This window comes from Homo sapiens, chromosome 22 (assembly GCF_000001405.40).
Source record: "Homo sapiens chromosome 22, GRCh38.p14 Primary Assembly".
In the NCBI taxonomy this organism is placed as follows: domain Eukaryota; kingdom Metazoa; phylum Chordata; class Mammalia; order Primates; family Hominidae; genus Homo; species Homo sapiens.
Window position 1 is genome coordinate 40,029,330 of NC_000022.11, and position 21,074 is coordinate 40,050,403.

Here is a 21,074-nt window from a genome sequence, read left to right on the forward strand (position 1 = left end):
AGAATCTTCCCTTCTACTTTCCCGGGTGCCCTATTGACTTGGTTTCCAGATCAGCAGCTTGGGAGGGAGACAGTGACCCCAGCCCCTCAACTGGAGATGTGGACAGCACACAGGGTAGGAACTGAAGCTGAATCCACCAAGCGTTTCACTTACATCCTTCCCCGCCTCTGTCCCTTGCCTCTGCAGGTAAAACAAGTCCCAGTTCTGCCAAGCCTAGCAACTGTGTGATTTCCTGAGCTGCGGGATGGTGGTGGGCAGGACGTGTGGATGCCTGCCTGCCCTGCCCTGTGCTGTGGAGAGCGCAGGTCGCACACTGCACCAGTTTGCACATCAGACGCCAACTGGCCTTCTGCCCTGCAGCCTCCGTCCTGGCCTCAGGGACGCTGGATCCCAAATGAGAGGGTCCGAAGCATCTCAGTCACACGCCTCCACCGGACTGTCGGTGGCTGGGCAGGGGTCAGTGCCACGGCCTCCTTGTTTACATGAAGTGGAAGCTTGACCAGTGTCTGCTCGCCTTTGTGCCCCACCCCCTCCGCTGATTGCCAGATGGGGTGAGGGCCCATTCTTTAAACCTTTATGGGGTGGGGTGTCTGGGGCAGCTGCAGTGGCTTCTCCTTTCCCAGGCTTCCTGGTGCTTCTGGTTCCCCACGCCACTCCCCACCCAAGAGATTGGTGGAATAAAAGGGAAGAGGGCAGGGCCCTGAGCCTGGGATCCCAAGTTCCAGTCTTTCTCTAGCCTCTGAACTCCAGATGTAAGGTGCAGCTGGAACTGCAGGGGCACTGGCTGCAGTGGCCTTCCTGGCCCCATCCCTGCAGGCTCCTGAACTAGACTTGAATGAGGGTAAGATCCTGCGGCCTCCCGCAGTGGGGGCAGAATTTGACACTGCTTTTCTGAGAGCGCTCGCACTGAGGTCTCTTTTTCCCTGCCCAGTGCCGTCCTGGCAGTCTCGGCATGGGTGGTTGAGACCTCCTTGGCTGCTGCCTGCTGCGGGCCTATGTGGGGGTCCTTACAGGGCCTTTACCTGGGACTGCTCCTTCCCTCAGTCAGTAAACTTTGGTTTACAGCCCAAGGCAGGGAGGGAGCTTGGCTGAGAGGGGATTGGGGGTGTGGGAGGCTGGGCCCTGAGGACAGGAGCATTTGCCTTTTCTCCCTCAACTCTAACGGGGTCCTCGGACCCCTTCACCAACCAGGGCTTCCAGGTTACACTTTGGCCAGACTGGCCTTTGCCTCCTGCGAGAGTCAGGCCATTTTTAGGAGCCTGTGCCTCGCCAGAGCAGGTCAGCCTAATGGCCATGAGGCTGAGCTGGGAGGCCCAGTAAGCAATTCCATTCTGCCTTCCCCACTTGGGTGACTGGAGAGGGCCGAGGAGAGTTTGTGAATGGACCTGGGAGAAATTGCCAAACTGCAGACTCTGTGAGCCGGCCCTGCCGGCAGGGCGATGGGGGATCCAAGCCCTGTGGAAGAGCCATGCAGCGGACTTTCTTGCCCTCTGACCTCTGAACCAAACTCTCATCCTCTTTCTTTCCTTCTAAAAAACCCTAGGACACTACCAGCACCTGGGGGAGGGGTACAGATGTCTGCAAGGCAGCTGATGTGAGAGCAAGAAAAGGGGCTGCTCTGGCTGGGCTGTGGGAGCCAGGCATTGCTTCTGAGGAAGCAGGAAGTGGGGACCACATGTGGCGGCCATTGAGGAGATGCAATCTCTCTGGCAGTGGGGAGGGGAAGGGAAAGGAAGGGTGAGCCTGTCCCCAGGGTCTTCTCTGTTAATCCCAAGGCTGGCTTCTAGGGCGTGTGGAGAAGGGACTCTGGCCCACCTCCCTGAGCTTTTATGAAGGTGAAATGCTTCTGGGAAGTGTTTCCTTAGGCACCAAGACCAGGCAGTGTGGCATGAGCTCATTCTGGAGGGGAGGGAAGGGAGAGAGGGGGGAGGTGGGATGTGGGGGTGTTACACCTCAGCTCGAGGCGGACACCTTGAAGGTATGGGACATGAAATGTGTAAACTGCAACGCGGCAAAGAGATCACTCTCTGGTGTGGAGGGTGGGTGTCTCTGGGGATTAGGGAGGCAGCCTGGGGAAGGGACCGGCCTCCAAGCAAGTCAGCCAAGGGCATCTGTGCCTCCCCTGCCAGAAGAGCAGGCCCTGCTTTGTCCCTTTACCTCCTCTAGGCCCAAAGCACACCCAGGTCCCTCCCCTGCCCTGACATCTAATCTGGGAGGATCCCTGATTGGAATCTCCAAGTCACCACAGCCTTGAGCCAGGCCTTCCTTTCTGCCTCAGTTTCTCCATGTGCCAAGATGGCGTTTTTCACACTTTCTTGGTAGAAATGATGGGGAGACCATATGTTAGGAAGCAAGTTGGCATAGTGGGAAGAGGGCCAGCCACAAGGCAGGAGTGCCCAGGCAGGGTGCCTCTCCCTGCTGGCCTGTGTCCTCGTCCTTATAGCAGTGTGGACAAGATGGTGTCGGCACCCCCCGCTCCAAAAGGCTTGAGACAGAAACTGTAGTCCGAGATGGCAAGGATTTTGAACTCACAAAATGCAGCTCTTCATGTTTGCCTGTCTGCCTAGGCACCGGCCCACTCTGTTCTGCCTCTTGGCTTCTCAGCTGTGAGTACGCCTGCCCTCTGTTCCAGCACTTGCACATACTTTGTGAAGCAGTCTCTTACTCATCAAATCTCAAGGGTACATCTGGCCCTCCCAGTTGGATGGCAAGTTCAAGGGTGGATCATGCCCTTGGTCCCTGCACAGCAGCTTCTGCAAGGCTGGTTACATTGGAAGGGCTCTAGGAGGAACAGGATAAGGCAGCACTCTCGGGGCTGGGGTCTGGCTTCACTGCACCCCCCTCCCACCCCACACCACCACCAAGCTGCTGTCTTTCTGAGTCAGCTTCTGTAGGGTAAGTGTTCACAGCTGGTGCAGCTCTTTGGGAAACCTAACCTCCCAGTGAGCTGAGCCCCTGGTGCGGCCGCCACGCTTGCTTCTGCCCCACAAGGGCAGTAAGCACAGGACTTCTGGATGGATCTGGGAGCCTGCCCCTTGGGATTTGGCAAAACTTCCCATCTCCTTAGCTACCTGTCCTTAATCTTATCCCTGACCCCTCGAGGGCTTTCAAGATAGCCTCTGTTAACATCACTACCCTCTGCCTGTGTAGAACTTTATAGAAAGGCTAGGCAAAAAATGAGACCCAGAGATATGGAAGAAACTGGCCAAAGAGGGGAAAGTGGGCTATTTCTTTTTTTTTTTTCTTTTTTTTTTCTGAGACAGAGTCTCACCCTGTTGCCCAGGCTGGAGTGCAGTGACAGCGATCTTGGCTCACTGCAAGCTCCGCCTCCCGGGTTCACGCCATTCTTCTGCCTCAGCCTCCTGAGCAGCTATGACTACAGGTGCCCACCACCATGCCTGGCTAATTTTTTTATATTTTTATTAGAGACAGGGTTTCACCATGTTAGCCAGGTTGGTCTTGATCTCCTGACCTTGTGATCCGCCCGCCTTGGCCTCCCAAAGTGCTGGGATTACAGGCCACCGTACCCGGCCAGGCTATTTTTTTGTTTTGTTTTTGTTTACTACTGTATTGCTTTTCTCTTTTTCATATTTATTGAGCACCTACTATATGCCAGTCACCATGCTAGATGCTTTAGTAACATGAAGGTTTCAAACTAAGAAAAGCTCAACAAAGAGCCCTTTAGAAAGGTAACAGTTTTCCTGTGTATTGGGGGAGTGGGTCTCATAAGGTTGTATGATGAGAAGCGCAAGTAATTGTTTTGTTTTTTTTTTGAGACAATGTCTTGCTCTGTCGATCAGGCTGGAGTGCAGTGGCGTCATCTCAGCTCGCTACAACCTCCACCTCCTGGGTTTAAGTGATTCTCTGGCCTCAGCCTCCTGAGTAGCTGAGATTACAGGCACGCGCCACCACGCCCGGCTAATTTTTGTATTTTTAGTAGAGACAGGGTTTCACTATGTTGGTCAGGCTGATCTTGAACTCCCGGCCTCAGGTGATCTGCCTGCCTTGGCCTCCCAAACTGCTGGGATTACAGGCATGAGCCACCACGCCCAGCCTGGCTAAGGTTCATTATCCCCATCTTTCAGATGAGGAGGCACACAACTCTCCCCAGATCCCACGTCACAGAGAATGCAGGTCTGAGTCTGTTCCTTGAGCTCAGGGTCTTGGCAATGGTGATGCTTTGGAGCTGCAGAATCCTCTGTTGGGGATGGGGCTGCCCTGTGCATTATAGTACGTTTAGCAACATCCCTAGCTTCCACCTACTAAATGCCACTAGCACTCCTTCAGATGAGACCACCAAAAATGTCTCCAGATGTTACCACATGTCCCCTGGGGGGTAAAAGTGCCCCCGTTGAGAGCACTGGCTCTTTTCTTCACAGTCCTGACCTGGTGGCCTGCACAGGCCACTTCTCCGAAGTGTTTCAATGCACTCTCTGCCCTGGGTACCTTGGACACAGCACCCTGGCCCAGAGAGGTTGGCTGACTTGCCTGAGACGCTGCTTCCTGGGAGACGCAGTAGCATCTTTCCTTTCTGTTCTGGTTATCTTTCTTAGTTCTTTACCACCTTATATTCCCCATGACAGGTGTGTTTATGTACACACATCTGCCTCACTCCACTCAGCTCCCTGTCAGGTTTCCTGCCAGTCTGTCCCTCTTCCTTCAGGCTCAGCTACGTCCTGCACAGACAGTACCACTGCACATACCTGTGTGTGCCCAGCGGTGGACCCACCTCCAAAAGCAGCCAGTGCTGACAGCAGAGAGCCTTCCACACTCAAGTCAGGCCAAGCAGGAATCGCTACCTGCCTGTCATGACCACATTCTCAGTGAACATTGACAAAGCCCCCTTAGCAGCTAATTAGCCCTGCCGTGCGCTAGGGATGCAATTTCTCATCTGGCAGTGCGCCACACTCCTGCCTCCCTGCCCAAAGGACGTAGTGGCTGCTGCTGATCGTCTGCACTGCTGTTCCAGGGGCAGGAGGTTTGCTGCAAATCAGGTACCCCCAGCTCAGTGAGCAGAACCAGTCCAAGGTTGAGTGAGGAGAAGGGCAAGAAGGGCAGGCACAGCCGTGAGTATGTTCTGGGGCTAAGTAACCATGAGATCAGCCCAGAGACCTTGCACAGTTAGGCAGGCCTGGACTTCTCGCCCTTCCCCTTGCAGCTTCTGCTCTCCCAGCTAGGGACTGAGGAAAGCCCTGCTTCTAGATGCCATGTGCTGCTGCCTGGCACGATAGGTACCCATCTGTCCTTGGGGTTCCTGAGCCTGGAGAGCGGGCTTTGTGAGCACTGGTGCCTCACCTGCCTGGCTCAGCTCTGCAGCCACAATATATGCTTAATACCTATTTGTTAAATGATTGAAGACTTGACTGCCATTCAGTACAGAGAATTAGCCAGGTGAATAAACAGGATGTGTCATAGAGGTTCTAGAATTGATCATGACCCTTTCTGTCTCATTCCTGACTTCTAATACCGTATATGCCAAATGGGGTTCTGCTGTGATTTAATTTCTTAAGGACTGGGTTTATCAAAAGTCCCTCCTGATCTAATCCTTTCCTCTAGGAAGGCTTCTCCTTTCTTCATCTGTCCTAAGTGCATGGTCTTCATCTCCTGGGTGGTCCAGACTAGGTGGCACTGGGCCTGCAGGCCTCTAGCTGCTCAAGGATGGCCCTGTCTGCATGCTTCCTTTCAAAAGCTAGCATAGAAAGGAGGGCCCAAGGTGAGGAAATTTGTCCAAAGTCACCCAATGAGTCGCAGGAAGGGCTAGAATCTGGTTATCTGGACCGTCCTAGAGCACTTTCACAGTGACAGCCGGCTGGAATCAAGTTTTCATTTAGAAAAATGGCTAGAAGTTAGGGCATTGCCTGCAGCCACTGAAAAGCAGCTTTAGGAGCAGATGTCCACGTAATAGAAGGAGATGGGCTAGGGCCTGCCACGGAAGCCAGCAAGCGCGTGGGAGCTGGGGGAGGAAAGGAGCAAAAGGCAAGAACAGGCAGTATGTCCGCGGTGCCCACAGTGCTGTGGGTACAAGCAAGGGGAAAAGAGCCCATGGTGTGCAGAAAACCATGCGTCATGATTCTTATTTCCTGCTCGCAGCTTTGACTCTCTGCCTCATCTCTTCCTGGAAGTGTCTTGGAAGTTAGGCGACTGCACAGGGAAAGGTTCGCTGCAGTGCTTGCAGGCCTGCACCCATTTATTCATCCGGTGGATATTTGCTGGGTGCCCGGCCTGGGGATCCATGGTGAGCGAGGAAGGCATGGTATTGAAGTGGTATGCCTGCATGACCTTGGCGGGGGCGCATGGCATAGAGAGGACAGGCTTCAGAACAGGCAGGCAAGGGCTGAAATCCTATCTCTGCCACCGAACAGCTAATGACCCCAGCAAGCAATTTCACATCCCCGAACTTTCCTGTTTCCTCATGTGTCAAATGGGGATGATCTCGAGACGACTCTCCAGAGTAACCACGTGAAGCACCTAGCACAGGGGCTGACGCAAACAGCTGGGCATCGGAGGAGCCTCCAGGGTTGTGACCTCCAGTGGCTTATTTTCCTTTTGGGATCTTCTCTCCTAGATCCTCCCCTTTAATTCCCTGTGAAATTTACCACTTTCATATTGAATCGTTGGCACACAGGGCTAACTGCTTGTTCACCTGAAGGAAGCTACAGAGTTCAGGTTTCTTTTTTCTTTCTTTCTTTCTTTTTTGCTTTTTTAAGATGATCTTGCTCCGTCACCCAGGCTGGAGTGCAGTGGCGTAATCATGGCTTCCTGCAGCCTCAAACTCCTGGGCTCAATGAGTTCCTTGAGATCTTCCATCCTCAGCTTCCCAAGTAGCTAGTAGTAGTAGTGGCTTGCACCAACGCTCCTGCCCTAATTTTCAATATTTTTTTGTAGAGATAGGATCTCACTGTGTTACCCAAGCTAGACTTGAACTCCTGGCCTCAAGCGATCCTTCCGCCTTGGCCTCCCAAAGTGTTGGGATTACAGGCATTAGCTACCACACCTGGCCAAGGCCCAGGTTTCGACAGAAAGGGAGAGAAAACCTGCCAGAGATGCCATTTCGGAGCCACTCTGCTTGGCAGGGACCTGTGTTCCCCTCATGCAGGTTCATCCTTAGAGGGCTGCGGTCTTATCTGGTTGTGCAAAAGTCCCACAACCTTTCTGGATTGATAGTTTGTGGTGAAATAAACAATTTTAGTTTGTTTGGAGAATCTTTTGTATACAAAATACAAATAAAACCTAAATCAAAGAAACAGAGCATGTCCGGAGAAGTCTGCCAACCCTTCTCCAGGCCATGGGGCTTCCCAAGCCAGGCCTGTACTCCTCATGTAGATTCCACACCCCGCCTTGATGTCTTTGGCTTTCACACTAGTGACTATAGCCTGGTGGGACGGGGTCTAGGGGCCACAGTCCTGGTCCTGCGCAGGTGGCCCTGGAGAGAAGCCTTGGAGAACTTGGAGAAGCCCACGCGGCTGGCAGCATCATGGTGAGAGGCTGACACCTTGTGGCTGGCTGGCAGCATACGTCCTTCCTCCCCTAGGTCAGCTAGACGGCCAAAGCAGGGATCTGCAAGCTCCTTCTGTGGCGGGCCAAAAAGTGAACATTCAGTGTGTCTGTTGCAGCTACTGTCATAGCACTGAGGCACCCCTAGACAGTACAGAAACAAGCAGGTGTGGCCATGTTCCAGTGAAACCTTATGAATACTGAAATCTGAATCCATAATTTTCATGTATCACAAAGTAGTAATATTCTTTTAATATGCAAAAACCGGCCAGGTGCGGTGGCTCATGCCTGTGACCTCAGCACTTTGGGAGGCCGAGGTGGGTGGATCACCTGAGGTCAGGAGTTCGAAACCAGCCTGGCCAACGTGGTGAAACCCTGTCTCTATTAAAAATACAAAAATTAGCCTGGTGTGGTGGCACATGCCTGTAATCCCAGCTACTCGGGAGGCTGAGGCGTAGGAATTGCTTAAACCTGGGAGGCGGAGGTTGCAGTGAGCTGAGATCATGCCACTGCACTTCAGCCTGGGCAACAGAGCTAGACTCCATCTCAAAAACAAACAAACAAAAAAACAAAAGCAAAAACCAGTCTTAGCTCACAGGCTGTGCCAAAACAGGCAGTGGGCTGGATTTGGTCCTCAAGCCTGGGCTTGCTGACCTCTGGCCTAGGACACCTCTCCTTTATGCCTCCGCTCCCAACACGGACTCTCAACTCTCATGTTTACCTTGTCATTGTTCTGTCAAGAGGAATTCACTAGTCTCACTCCTCCAACCAGACCGCTGCCACTAAGGCTTCTTCTGAACAGAAATTCTGGATTTGTTCTCACCCATTTCATAAATGTACATAAGCACCCATCAGGTGCCAAGCCCTGTGCTGAGATGCCTGCAGAGCCCAGAGTTTTCACCAACTTTTTTTTTAAGAGATGGGGGTCTCTGTTGCCAGGTTGGAGTGCAATGACATAATCATAACTCACCGCAACCTCAAACTCCTAGGTTCAGGTGATCCTCCCGCCTCAGCCTCCCAAGTAGCTGGGACTACAGGCATGCACCACCCTGCCCAGCTAATTAAAAAAAAAACTTTAGGGATGGGGTCTTGCTATGTTGTCTAGGCTGGTCTCTAACTCCTGGGCTCAAGTGATCCTCCCACCTCAGCCTCCCAAGTAGCTGGGCTTACAGATGTGAGCCACTGCACCTGCTCAACATTTAATTTTTTCATTCATTCATTCGTTCATTCATTTGTTCAAACGAACTTATTGAGAACTTACTGTGTTCCAGGCACTGTGATAAGATAGACCTGGCCTTTACCTTCAAATGTTCAGAACATGGTTAGGAAGATGGATACTGGGAGGCAAGTGTTCTGATGGGAAAGCACAGCATGTAAAGAAGCCCAGAGGAGGCACTTAACCTGGGGGAGAAGAACAGGGTAGGCTTCCTGGAGGAGGAGGTAATCTCTGAGCCGATACCTGAGGAGTGAATGGAGGAGGGGACAATGAGGCAAGGCATTCCAGGGAAAGGTCCAGAGCCTAGACAGAACTCTTTTAGGAGAATTATGAGAATCACAATTATCGAGGACACAGTGAAGACTCAGATAACTCAAATATAGGTTTTGCCCGCAAAGCCTTCCTGTCTGGTGGGTGAGACAGTCTACAGCAAGCTGCTCCAAGGATATGGAGAAAAAAGTTTTTCCTCTGGCCTTGTAGGATTGGTTATTACTGAGCCTGGAGTACGCAAAGGCCAGCGAGTGCTCCTAAGGCAGGGAGGGGGCTGCCTTCACTATGGGTGCTCAGGAAATCTGCCAGGGGAAGGGAGATGTGGGCCTGCCTCGGCTGCAGAAACCCCTCAGAGGAGGAGGAGGGGCTTGAACTGAGCTTTGAAGAAAGTGTAGACTTGGGGACAGGCAGAGGAAGAGGGGGCATCATAGGCAGCAGAAACCACATGGACAAACTCTCTGCCGGAGAATGGGCATGGCCGGGCTGAGGGGTCCCTGGACAGGAACCAGCCTTCCCTATGCACCTGCACCCGTGAGTCTCACAACAGCCCCAACAGGCAAGTGTTATTTTCCTCAATTCTACCAATTAAAAACTGACCTTGGGCAACTGCTTAACCTATCTCTGCCTTACTTTCTTCATCTGTATCTACCTCAGAAAGTTACTATGAGGACTGAATAAGCTCATACATATACAATGCTTGGAGCAGAGGCTGGTACTAGAGCTGGCTTCATGGGCATGAAACCTGTGAACACAGAACCCCATGCTTTCATTTTCCACTTAGTCCTGCCTGGCATAGTATGCAGTTTTTTTAATTTGAGATGGAGTCTCCCTTTGTTGCCCAGGCTTGAGTGCAGTGGCGCGATCTCAGCTCACTGCAACCTCCACCTCCCAGGTTGAAGCAGTTCTCCTGCCTCAGCCTCCTGAGTAGCTGGGATTACAGGTGCGCGCCACCATACCCAGCTAATTTTTGTATTTTTAGTAGAGATGAGGTTTTGCCATTTTGGCCAGCCTGGTCTTGAACCTCTGACTTCCATGATCCACCTGCCTCTGCCTCCCAAAGTGCTGGGAGGATTACAGGCATGAACCACTACGCCTGGCCTGGTATGTGGGTTAAAATGTTAGGTTTTATCATTATCTTAGGTGGAGAATAACAAATCCGATTCAATATATTCATTTTAGAAACGAGGAAACTGAAGCTTAGATAGTTTGTGTGACTTGCAAAAAGTCACGCAGCAAACAAGCTGCAGAATGAAGGGTGGAGATGGAGAGATAGAATTCTCATCTTAGAGGTGAAAGTAGGATAATGACCCAGCTGAGCTTGCTGAGTCCTGCGAGCGTCGCACGCCCCCAGAGACAACATAAGGAGAGAAGTGCAGACAGATTCCTTTGAAGGAGCTTAGAGAAAGAGATGGTAGGGAAAAGAGCATGAACAGTTGTAGAGGTAGGAGGAAAGCTGGCTATTTGGGGAAGCAAAGAAAAGATTCTCAGAGTAAAACGTATTGGTGAAGCCATGGAAACAAGGACTGAGAAAGTCTCTTGGATCTTGGCCACAAAAAGGTTATAGATGAGCTTAGAGAAATGAATTTCAGTAGAGTTAGGGCTAGAAGCCAGGTTCAGAGAGAGAAAACGAGAGAGCATTCCTGGTGGTGGAGATGGCCGCAGGCCATTATTTAAAAAGCTAGGATAAGAAAATAGAGAAGAAAGGGAAGGAAGCTATTTGAAGGGAGTGGGAGAAAAGCCAGATCTCAGTTGGGACGTGGAGGAAGGACCACCAGAGGCAGTAATTTAGCCGGAAAGAGGTGTATTTCTTTCCTTGAGTTTATAGGGGGTAAAGAGGATGGGGCTGAGATACTAAAGACTACGAGGACAACTGTTCATTGAGGGCTGGTCATCTCCCCAGCTGCACTGTGGGGTTCCCAAGTCAGACATCCCAGAGGCAATATAGCAGCGTGGACAAGAGCTTACTCGTTGGAGTCAGACCGCCTAGGTTCAACGATGGGTTAGTTAGCCCTTCAGTGCCTCCATTTTCCTATCTAGAAAATGTGGATAACAATGGTTGTTGTGAAGATTAACAGCCATAATCCACGTAAAGCCCTCAGTACAGTGTATGACACACAGCAAGTGTCCACCAAAGGGTAGTTATTATTAACCATAATCCTGGTTCTCTTGTGAGCTGCCTCCTGTGTGTCTAGCATTGGCCAGCACACATGAGGGGGTCCAGTGTTTGCTGCTTAACTAAGTAGCTTCTCAGGAAGTGTGGTCATAAAAAATGATAGGTGATTTAGAAGGTGAGACAGACACAAGGGATGTGTTGCACAGTAAATGCTCCCAGACATGCAATAAATGCTTATAAGCATGCCCTCTGTAATCAGCCCTCTTTAGAGAGTTTCCCTGCCTCATTGCTCTTGGTCTTTGGCAATGGCTACACCCACTGCCCAAGCAAGCAGTATCAGCTGTCAGCTGTCCCCTTGTCTTTTGGATCAGATTCCTTTACAGGGATCTTCCCATTGTTATAAGCTTCAAGAATTGGAGAATGCTTAATGAACACTTCCAAATTCTTCATAGCTATGAGGGGCCAGTGCAAAGGGCGGAAGGAGTTCTTCTGTGTCACAGAAATTAGAGCTGGAGCAGATCCAGCTTGCTATCCCCCCTTCCCCCAGCTTGTGGGTTATTGCAGAATTGTTCACAAAAATTCCCATTGCCTTGGAATTTGTCCAAGCCGAGGGCAGGGATCACAACACAACCTCTCAAGGGAAAAAAGGAAGGCCTGTTGCTTGAGATGGCTCAGAGCACTTTTGGTAGCCAGCCAAGGCAGCTATCACTCATGAAATCTGCCTTCCCCTCCAGCAAAAAGCCAACTGTATAGAACACCACATATAGAGCGCTAAGAATAGCACAGCGCTCCAAGAACATAGTGCACTTGGCCTGCATACAAGTGTGCAGGGCTTAACGAGTCTTTTTACTCTGAAAGCTGGGTGGGTTGGAACAAACAAACAGAAAAATATTTTCCCCAAGTAGCATGCAGAGAGGAAATGAGAGCAAGCACAAGAGAGCACCCTGGCATAGCATTCTCTGACCTGGGCTGCCTTTTCAGGGTATGAGTTGATTCCGCAGGCACCAAGGCATGCCTGTAAGCCCTACAGGGCAGACGCCCTCACCCCAATCATTGGCTTAACATTCACACCAGGCTGAGTAAGCCCCAAAAGTCCTGCCATTGGCTCTGACAGGAATTGAAACCCATCTTCTCCACAATAAATATTTGATTGACAGATTGGCTTCCTTCCTATAAGTATAGAAAGCGAGGGCAGGTTCCATCCAAAGCCGCAGTTCTGGGTGATGAGAGCTCTGAGAGCCCAGAAAAGACCCTGAACCACATCCCACTGTTTGTTGGAAGAAGAAACTCATTTGTGGGTCTGTTCATAAAAGAGTCTGGGAAGATAGTCTCCTTAACAGTGTCTGGATGTAACAGACTATGGGCGGCTTTTACTTTATAACTTTCTATATTGTCTGAAATACAGAATATTAAATATTGAGTTAATATTATATTTACTCAATGTTACTTTTTTTTTTTTTGAGACAGGGTCTTGCTCTATTGCCCAGGCTGGAGTGCAGTGGTGTGGCTCACTGCAGCCTTGAACTCCCAGGCTCAAGCAATCCTCCCACCTCAGCATCCCAAGTAGCTGGGACTGTAGGCGCAGGCCACCATGCGCAACTATTTATTTTCTTTCTTTTTGTAGAAATGGGCTCTGCCTGTGTTGCTCTAGCTAGTCTCAAGCTCCTGGCCTCAAGCAATCCTTCCGCCTTGGCCTCTCAAATTGCTGGGATTACAAGCATAAGCCAATGTGCCTGGCCTCAATGTTACTTTTATGATCAGAAAAACGGCCATCTTATTTGGAAATTATTTTCCTATTCTCAAGTGGGCAAATAGGAGAAGGTTTCAGGCATTTGTTTTGTCTCTGGGAGGGAAGGCACAATGAGGTGGAGTGGACAAATTGCTGAGGCCTTTATGGACAAAGATTCTAAGAAGAACAGGCTTTGGCCATCTCTGGATATTCCCATTCTGCTCCCTGCCACCAGAGAGCAAATGTCGTAGGTCACCACACATCACCAGTCTCTTGCCTAGCTAACCGTAACTCATTCTTTAGTTCTCCTTGAAGGTGTCACTTCTTCCAGGAAGCCATTTCTGTCCCTCCCGAGATGGAGTCCCATGTCCCTACCATTTGCTTCCAGGGCACCTTCTCACAGCACTGCATCATGGTTATCTGCTTATCTGCTGGACACCCCTACTCGACTGAGGTCCTTGAAGGAAGAGAGAGTGTATCACTCATCTGCATAGCCTTTGTAACTTAGTAAAAGTGCCTGACATGCTCACTAAACATTTACTGAGTAATTATTTATTTGGGGGCCTTTTACGATCAGAACAATGTGAAGGACACAAAGATGAAAAAGAAACCATCTGCTTCAAGGTACTTACAACTGAAATGTATCAAACAATTACCCAGAAAGTCAAGCACCAACTTAAGTGCTAAAATAGGGGTCCAAGCAACCAACTTTGAAGATTAGGAAGGTTTTAGATTCTGAATGTTTCTCATTCATTGTGTTTTTGAGTTCAGAATCCCCATACTGGAAGGCTAATATGGGGTATGTGCATACAATTTTAAGGACTCACGTTCTTACAACCTATATTAGAATTTGACGCACGATCTTTCTTCTGTCCTTCTTGCAGTTGCCCTAGGAATACATGCCACTTACTCTTAATTGACGTTTATGAAATACCTTGGCTTCATTTGCTGAAAGGCTCTAAGTGTTGAGCATTGTTACTATGTTACAATGGTTGTTTTATTATTAAAGCAGTGCCAAGGAGGTTACACAACAGCTTGGATCAGGAAGTGAAACAAGGGCGGTGATCCCACTGAAGCTACAGGGGATGGGGATTTGGGACGGTAAAATGTTAATTACCCAAGATGGAATGTGGGCTAGAGTCCAGCGTTGTGCTCCTGGAGATCATTTCGGTCGCAAAAGCTCACTGGCAATGGGTCCTAAGCGTCCTGCCCTCCTCTGGCTGAAATGTTGGATTCACTTCGATGAATGCTGCTATAGGGAAAGAACCCAGTGGCCACCAGCCAGGAGCACACGTCTTGCTCAGCATCAACTATCCTGGAAGATTTCCAGGAGCTGAAGGGCTGTTCTCTTTGCATGCAATAAATTATTCATTTCTAAGACGATTTATTCTGTCTCTCTCTTTAGACTTGATTTCTCCTAGTTTTCCAGCTCTTGAGGACTCTCTCCAAAGAATGAGTTGTAGATGGTTGGTCAGGGGTTGCGAGTGGTGCCTAGGCTTCGCATAAAAGGAGGCAGAAATGTCTACCTTAAAGGGGAGAGGAATGGGTCCTGGGGAGGAAGATGTGGTGGAGGCAATGACAACCTTTCCATAGTAAGTCCCCAACAAAGTCACTTCTAGAAACTGACTGAAGACTTTGAGTTCCAAATGAAACGTTTTTAAGATGCTAGGTTGGCTGACAAGTACATCGTCTAAGGTGGAGGCACTAAAGCATAATAAAAAGAGTGAAGTCTCTGCAGTTTGACCCAGGACCAGATGCCAGGCCCACCAACGACTCTGTATCTGGATGACCTTGGGCAAGTTTTCTAAGCTCTCGCCAGCCTTAATTTCCCATCTATAAAAACTGGATACTGCATTACTCCCAGGTTTAACCAGATAATGTTTGTGAAGAAAGCAGCCCAATACTTGGCACAAAATAGGCAAGGGAGTCACTATTATCGTCAACTACTGGCCAAACAACCAGAGTTGACCCCAAATCCCCAGTAAACAATTAACCGTAGCAGAGCGAATCCGGATCTGACGCACCTATTTGCCCAATAAGGTGCCAGGAAATAACACAGTGGAGTCAAACCAATGGTATTAGCCCTTGTTGATGGACGGGCTTTCTTGCTGTTCCACCAATAGCTTGAAGATTTGACTGGGGAGTGACATCCTGACAGTCCAATGACGCACAACCAGCCCACACTCAGCACTTCGGAGGGGATAAATCAAGGAGCCGGCACGTATGGATTCCGTTATAGGGCAGTACTGGTTGGAGAGAGGAGCTTAGGGAAACAGCGCCGAGGCAAGGCACTAATGAGCTAAAAATAAAGAAAAAAGACGATGGTTGCGCCAAGCGACCTCGGCCGCCATCATGCTCTAATTTCCCCTGAGTCTCTCTGGGTCCTCGACCGAGGAAGCGGCCTCTGGGATGCTGAGGGGGTGTGTCCCCACATGATTGGCTCAGGCAGCTCAGCCAATCCTAGCTCGTTAAACGGGAAGCACTTAACCAATGAGGGGCGAAGGCAGCAACGAGGAATTGGAGGGGCGGAACGACAGCTTGACGGGCACAAAAGCCAGCCAGTGAGAGCCGGAAGCATCCTCCCTGCGGCCAATGGAGTGGGGCTCTGGGCGGGCCCCCGAGTGTTTGTGTTGTGGTTTTGGGGGAGGGATGCGGAGGGGAAAGTTTGTTTATTTTGTTTTTAGTTTTTGGGGTCCCCGTGCTGCTGCAAGGCGAAACGGGAGGGAGTGACCCCTGCGCCCCTCAGTCCCCCCTACGACGTCGCCTCCATAGTCTGCGGAGAAGCGGAGACTGCGCGCCTCGCCTCACAGCGAAACGCCGCGCACTCGGAGCCGGCACGGCTCGGCGGTGAGTGAGGTGCGGCGGCCGCGCCGTCCTTCCCCTCCCCCGCGCCCCGCCGGGACGGAGCGGGGCGGCCGGGGGTCGGCGAGGGCGCCCCCGGGGGCGCGCGGCGCGGCCCGGGGCGGTGAGCGGAGGCGCGGCGTGTGCGTGTCCTCGCGAGGGAGCGCGCGTGGGGCGGGGAGCGGGCCGGGGAGGGGGCGTGAGCGCGCGCGGGGCTGGTGCGGCCGGCGGCGCTGAGCGCGCGCTCCGCGGGAGCGGGCGCCGCCGAGATTTGAGTCGAGGGGCGGGGAGGGACTCGGGGCGACGTCCGGCGCGCGGGCCGGGGCGCCCCGAACGGCCGGGCAGGCACTGGCGGGCGCGCGCGCGGCTCCGGGCGTCACGCGCCAGCAGGTGTGAGCTGGGGGAGGGCTTCCGGGTGGGCTGGCCCGGCCGTCGAGTTCGCTTCCCGTCTCCGGGGGGCCTCGGCGCGGGGACACCTTCCCGGCCCGCGGAGGCGCGTCCGCCCCTGGCTGGCGGTGGCAGAGGGAGGCGTCAGGCCTCGGATCCTCGGGTCCCTGCGCAGCGTCCCGGCCTGTGTGCAGGACCTGCGTGACAAGGTGAATGCGTTCCACACCCCTCGCCAGGGCCCTGCGTGTGCGGCCACTTGGGGAGGCGGCTCAGACTCTGGACAAGGAAACGAGGGGCACGGAGAGTGTTTTTACACCTTCCCGTGGTCCGGTGCCCTTCAGTTCCAGACTACCGGTTTATTCGGCTGTAGAGGCTGGACATCCGATCCAGCGAGACACGCTGTAGTGGTTAAAGACGTCCAGTAACGGTCACCTCTAGTCAAGCGCCTTAAGGACCAGCTTATTCTGAATTCTTTGGAATTCAGGTTACCAGCCTGGGACTTTAAGTTCGTGCTTTCTCATGTGTTTTGGCTGTTTTATTACTTTTTAGCATCAGTGCTAGAGATTGAACGAGAGGATGGTGAATTTCAAGTTGGTCATTTGTATTATAATTTAAGCAAAATTATACAAAATTGGTCAAAGATATTTCTTCATAGTGAATAAAACAAGCCAAGAATCAGTGAATGAAACATTAGTGCCCCCACCAACAGTTAAGTATATATATAAAGTGTGTAGAAATGATAGACATTAGCATTTTGTGAAAGTTTACTAATAGAGGTTACTTCTCTCTTCGCTGTGGGAGATTTCAGTAGTATAAGGTTTCTCTTGATTTGGAGAATCATCAGTGATCTTGGCTTCGAAAGTACAGATGTGTTTTGGGTAGTGTTGTGTAAATGCCTCTTATAGAGCGGAACTTTTAGCGCATTGTCTCTACAGCGCGCAGCATTGCTGTAGGCAGGTAGTGGGAGGGCTGTGTAGTGCCCACTTGCACGAAGGCACACTCACCAATATCCAGAATACAAATCAGACTGGCTTGTCCCACGTGGGACGTGGTGATGATGATAATAATACTTTTATATTTTCTTAGTTCTTTACTATTATTAAGGGCTTATCCCAAACACCATTATTTGAGCAGAGTGGTTTCTGATAGGAATTCCGTAGCTGCTTTTCTGTGGTAACATATAAATGTCATGCCCTTGAAAAAGATTTCCCTCATTCAAATGGAAGCACTTAAATTTTTTTTTTTTTTTTTGAGACAGAGTCTCAATTTTTTTTTTTTTTTTTGAGACAGAGTCTCAAAGATTGTGCCAGGCTGGAGTGTAGTGGCACAATCTCGGCTCACTGCAAGCTCCGCCTCCCGGGTTCACACCATTCTCCTGCCTCAGCCTCCCGAGTAGCTGGGACTACAGGCGCCCGCCACCACGCCCGGCTAATTTTTTTGTATTTTTAGTAGAGACGGCGTTTCACCATGTTAGCCAGGATGGTCTCGATCTCCTGACTTCATGATCCGCCCGCCTCGGCCTCCCAAAGTGCTGGGATTACAGGCGTGAGCCACCGCGCCCGGCCTTAAAAATGTTTTCAAGTCGGAGCAATACCACTTGTTGAAATGGCAGTAATAATATTAGCTAACATTTATTGTATGCTTACTCTATGCCAGCCTTTTGACATCTTTTCCCCTAATTCTTAGCCCAAGCCTGTGGGGTAGGTATCGTTACTATACTATGAATGAGAAAAGGGATCTCCAGGAGCCACACAGCTATGCAGTTCCAGGGCATAGGTTTAGTCTCAACGTCTGTCTGGTTTGAGAGCCTACGCGTGTTTCATTTTGCCTCCTCCTTGAATTATCAGAGGGAGAAAGGGCACTGAAAAGTAGAGAGGAATAGAAAAGGAGAATACCACTGATGATTAGGTTGCCCATACCTAACTTAAGAATTTAAATTAGGCTGGGCGCGATGGCTCACGCCTGTAATCCCAGCACTTTGGGAGACCGAGGCAGGTGGATCACTTGAGGTCAGGAGTTGGAGACCAGCGTGGCCAACATGGTGAAACCCCGTCTCTACTAAAAATACAAAAAATTAGCCGGGCGTGGTGGTGGGCGCCTGTAATCCCAGCTACTTAGGAAACCGAGGCAGGAGAATCGCTTGAACCCGGGAGGCGGAGGTTGCAGTGAGCCGAGATTGTGCCATTGCACTCCAATCTGGGCAACAAGAGCGAAATTCAGTCTCCAAGAAAAAAAAAAAGTTTACATTAAGCTCATTCTTGGCTTTTAGAAATTAATAACATTTTTGCAAAAGTACATCTTATTTCTTCCCTGTTTAATTTTTATAAAGATTGTAAAAATACATTTTAGCTCAAGAGTTCAAGGCTTTCAGAGCCCTTTGTGCAGATTGCTGCTCCAGTCCCGGGCTATTGTGTATTGTGATAAATTGTGTGCTCTTCCAGGGACTGTTACTCATTTTTCTATCCAGCACAGTGCTTGGCACATAGTGGGAACACAGAAAACGTTAGTTGACTGACATTTGATTCTAAGGAGCAGAATCAAAGTGTAGATTTCGGATTCATTTTAGTCGTTGAATTGTGCAGTTTTAGTTTAACAGGACAATAAGAAAATGACTAGTTCATGTGCAAAATGCGCGTTTTGAAAAAATACTTAAATGGAGCAACTCATGGGGTCTTGGAAAATTCTGTCAGTTTGCTGGATCTCTCCGTTCTACTATCATGTTTGAGCTTCTGTTCCTCTCACTTCCAGAGTTCTGAAAGAGCAGTCTATGCTGGCTGCTTCCCTTTCTTCACGTCTTCACTACACAGTCATTCTTTAAACTTTTGCAGCCAGATTGTTCCAAGGTTGCCAATTACCTAGTGGGTAAATTTCCCACATTGGCCGGGCGTGGTGGCTCACGCCTGTAATACCAGCACTTTTGGGAGGCCGAGTCAGGTGGATCACGAGGTCAGGAGATCAAGACCATTCTGGCCAATATGGTGAAACCCCGTCTCTACTAAAAATACAAAAAAATTAGCCGGGTGTGGCGGCGCATGCCTGTAGTCCCAGTTACTCGGGAGCCTGACGCAGGAGAATTGCTTGAACCAAGGAGGCGGAGGCTGCAGTGACCTGAGATCGCGCCACTGCACTCCAGCCTGGGCAACAGAGCGAGGCTCCGTCTCAAAAAAAAAAAAAAAAAAATTTCCAAAACTCTCTCTTCAGGTTTCATCCTTTTCTGTCTCCCTGCAGCAGTCAATCCTTTTTGACAATTCCTATCCATTTAAACATTTTTTTAAAAATAACATACAGTAATATTGACTTTTTATGTGTGTTTACAGTTCTGTGAATGTTCACACATGAATGTACACAGTCAGGATCAGAACGGTTCCATCACTCCAAAAAAAACTCCCTTGTCCCATCCCTTTGTATCACGGCTTTCTCTTTTCTTTTTCCTTCCTTCCTTCCTTCCTTCTATCCATCCATCCATCTTTCTTGTCTTTCTGACAGAGTTTCGCTCTGTCGCCCAGGCTGGAGTGAAGTGGCATGATCTCGGCTCACCACAACCTCTGCCCCGCTCCCCCCTCCCAACTTCACTGGGTTCAAGCGATTCTCCTGCCTCAGCCTCCCAAGTAGCTGGGATTATAGGCGTGCATCACCACGCCCAGCTAATTTTTGTATTTTTAGTACAAAGAGAATAGAAGGTAACATTTGTTCATTTATTTAAAACATTTATACACTGCTGGCTGGGCGCGGTGGCTAACACCTGTAATCCCAGCACTTTGGGAGGCTGAGGCGGGTGGATCACGAGGTCAGGAGTTCAAAACCAGCCTGGCCGGTCACTGTGTTAGCCAGGATGGTCTCGAACTCCCGACCTTAGGGATTTCACCATGTTGGCCAGGCTGGTCTCAAACTCCCACCTCAGCCTCCCAAAGTGCTAGGACACGGATGAGCCACCGTGCCCAGTCAGCTTTCTTAACTCTCTGCCTTTTCTTAAGTTTTTCTAACATCGTACTGTCCTCCTTCTTACCTTTTGGGGCGTCGTTCCTTTCCTGACTTCTATCCCGGAGATAAACACTAAGGTCAATTACTAAGGGCTCCTTTTATTGTTTTATTTTTCTCTTTTTCTAATCTTCATAAGTGTTATTTATGAGACTTAACTGTCACCTCTGTATATGCTAGCCTGCATATCCATGCCTCACCTCTCTTCCATACTCCAAAACAAAATCCATATTTACCTGCTGGCATTCTTTTTGTTTTGTTTTTGAGATGGAGTCTCGCTCTGTCGCCCAGGCTAGAGTGCAGTGGTGTGATTTTGGCTCGCTGCAACTTCTGCCTTCCGGGTTTAAGTGATTCTCCTGCCTTAGCCTCCCAAGTAGCTGGGATTGCAGGCGCACACCACCAAATCTGGCTAATTTTTGTATTATTAGTAGAGACAGCATTTCACCATGTTGGCCAGGCTGATCTGGAACTCCTGACCTCAGGTGATCTGCCCACCTCAGCCTCCCAAAGTGCTGAGATTACAGGCATGAGCCACCGCGCCCGGCTGGCATTCTTTGCTACTTCTTCGTACTCAGTATGTTGAAAGTCAAGTAATGCCTCCCATTAGTATTAGTTTCTATTATCGTTAGTTTCTATTAATTATTATTCTATAATTTATAATTATAGTTATTATTAGTGTTTTTCAGTGGTGCCATCATCCTCTCAAGTTTGCAACCCTGGAGCATTTGGAGGGCCATATAATAAACTCTGTTATTTCAAACCTGGAATCCTGCTACTTAGTTACGATACTGGCTGCTGCCCCTTTGCTACCAAGCCAGCCCGGATCCAGCGACCTGAGAGGAGCATGGGTAGTTGGAGCACTTAGAACCCCTTTAGGATTGTAGCATTTCCTTGTGGTCAAAACCCTTCTATGACTTCCCATTGCACTCAGGCCGGTTTGGGATTTTACTTTTTATCCTATGAGGCTCTGTGTGTTCTGGCCTCCCCAACCTTCTCTCACTTCTTTTACACCCCATCCTCCTCTCTGAGCATCTTAACTGCAAGGT

The 21,074-nt window shown here is 50.1% G+C and overlaps 2 protein-coding genes and 1 long non-coding RNA gene across 3 annotated transcripts in view, besides 7 other annotated features; 2 read left to right on the plus strand and 1 right to left on the minus strand.

Annotated features, from left to right (window-relative positions):
• FAM83F (family with sequence similarity 83 member F) overlaps positions 1-14,205 on the plus strand; it is a 48,581-nt gene extending 34,376 nt beyond the window's left edge. Inside the window, exon 5 of the mRNA NM_138435.4 lies at positions 187-14,205. Coding sequence (NP_612444.2) covers positions 187-236 — 50 coding nt within the window. The 3' untranslated portion in view covers positions 237-14,205. The remainder of the gene's footprint in view (positions 1-186) is intronic.
• Positions 1,392-1,911: an enhancer, noted in NCBI's record as "NANOG-H3K27ac-H3K4me1 hESC enhancer chr22:40426725-40427244 (GRCh37/hg19 assembly coordinates)". NCBI's record gives its function as "activates a minimal SCP1, AML or CMV promoter by ChIP-STARR-seq in primed H9 embryonic stem cells {active_cell/tissue: H9 hESC(primed)}" and the evidence as "EXISTENCE:reporter gene assay evidence [ECO:0000049][PMID:30033119]".
• On the minus strand, positions 13,801-15,201 carry TNRC6B-DT (TNRC6B divergent transcript). Its single transcript, NR_163486.1, has one exon. It is a non-coding gene; the product is annotated as a TNRC6B divergent transcript (long non-coding RNA).
• Positions 14,196-14,843: an enhancer, noted in NCBI's record as "H3K27ac hESC enhancer chr22:40439529-40440176 (GRCh37/hg19 assembly coordinates)". NCBI's record gives its function as "activates a minimal SCP1, AML or CMV promoter by ChIP-STARR-seq in primed H9 embryonic stem cells {active_cell/tissue: H9 hESC(primed)}" and the evidence as "EXISTENCE:reporter gene assay evidence [ECO:0000049][PMID:30033119]".
• Positions 14,925-15,224: an enhancer, noted in NCBI's record as "active region_19080". NCBI's record gives its function as "activates an Ori minimal core promoter by ATAC-STARR-seq in GM12878 lymphoblastoid cells {active_cell/tissue: GM12878}" and the evidence as "EXISTENCE:reporter gene assay evidence [ECO:0000049][PMID:35858748]".
• TNRC6B (trinucleotide repeat containing adaptor 6B) overlaps positions 15,505-21,074 on the plus strand; it is a 290,975-nt gene continuing 285,405 nt past the window's right edge. Inside the window, exon 1 of the mRNA NM_001024843.2 lies at positions 15,505-15,669. The gene's annotated coding sequence lies outside the window, so the exon portion shown is untranslated. The remainder of the gene's footprint in view (positions 15,670-21,074) is intronic.
• Positions 15,535-15,654: an enhancer, noted in NCBI's record as "active region_19081". NCBI's record gives its function as "activates an Ori minimal core promoter by ATAC-STARR-seq in GM12878 lymphoblastoid cells {active_cell/tissue: GM12878}" and the evidence as "EXISTENCE:reporter gene assay evidence [ECO:0000049][PMID:35858748]".
• Positions 15,955-16,174: a silencer, noted in NCBI's record as "silent region_13766". NCBI's record gives its function as "represses an Ori minimal core promoter by ATAC-STARR-seq in GM12878 lymphoblastoid cells {active_cell/tissue: GM12878}" and the evidence as "EXISTENCE:reporter gene assay evidence [ECO:0000049][PMID:35858748]".
• Positions 16,185-16,254: a silencer, noted in NCBI's record as "silent region_13767". NCBI's record gives its function as "represses an Ori minimal core promoter by ATAC-STARR-seq in GM12878 lymphoblastoid cells {active_cell/tissue: GM12878}" and the evidence as "EXISTENCE:reporter gene assay evidence [ECO:0000049][PMID:35858748]".
• Positions 17,541-17,759: a silencer, noted in NCBI's record as "fragment chr22:40442874-40443092 (GRCh37/hg19 assembly coordinates)". NCBI's record gives its function as "represses an EF-1alpha promoter that drives an FKBP-Casp9 reporter gene in an ReSE screen in K562 erythroleukemia cells {active_cell/tissue: K562}" and the evidence as "EXISTENCE:reporter gene assay evidence [ECO:0000049][PMID:32094911]".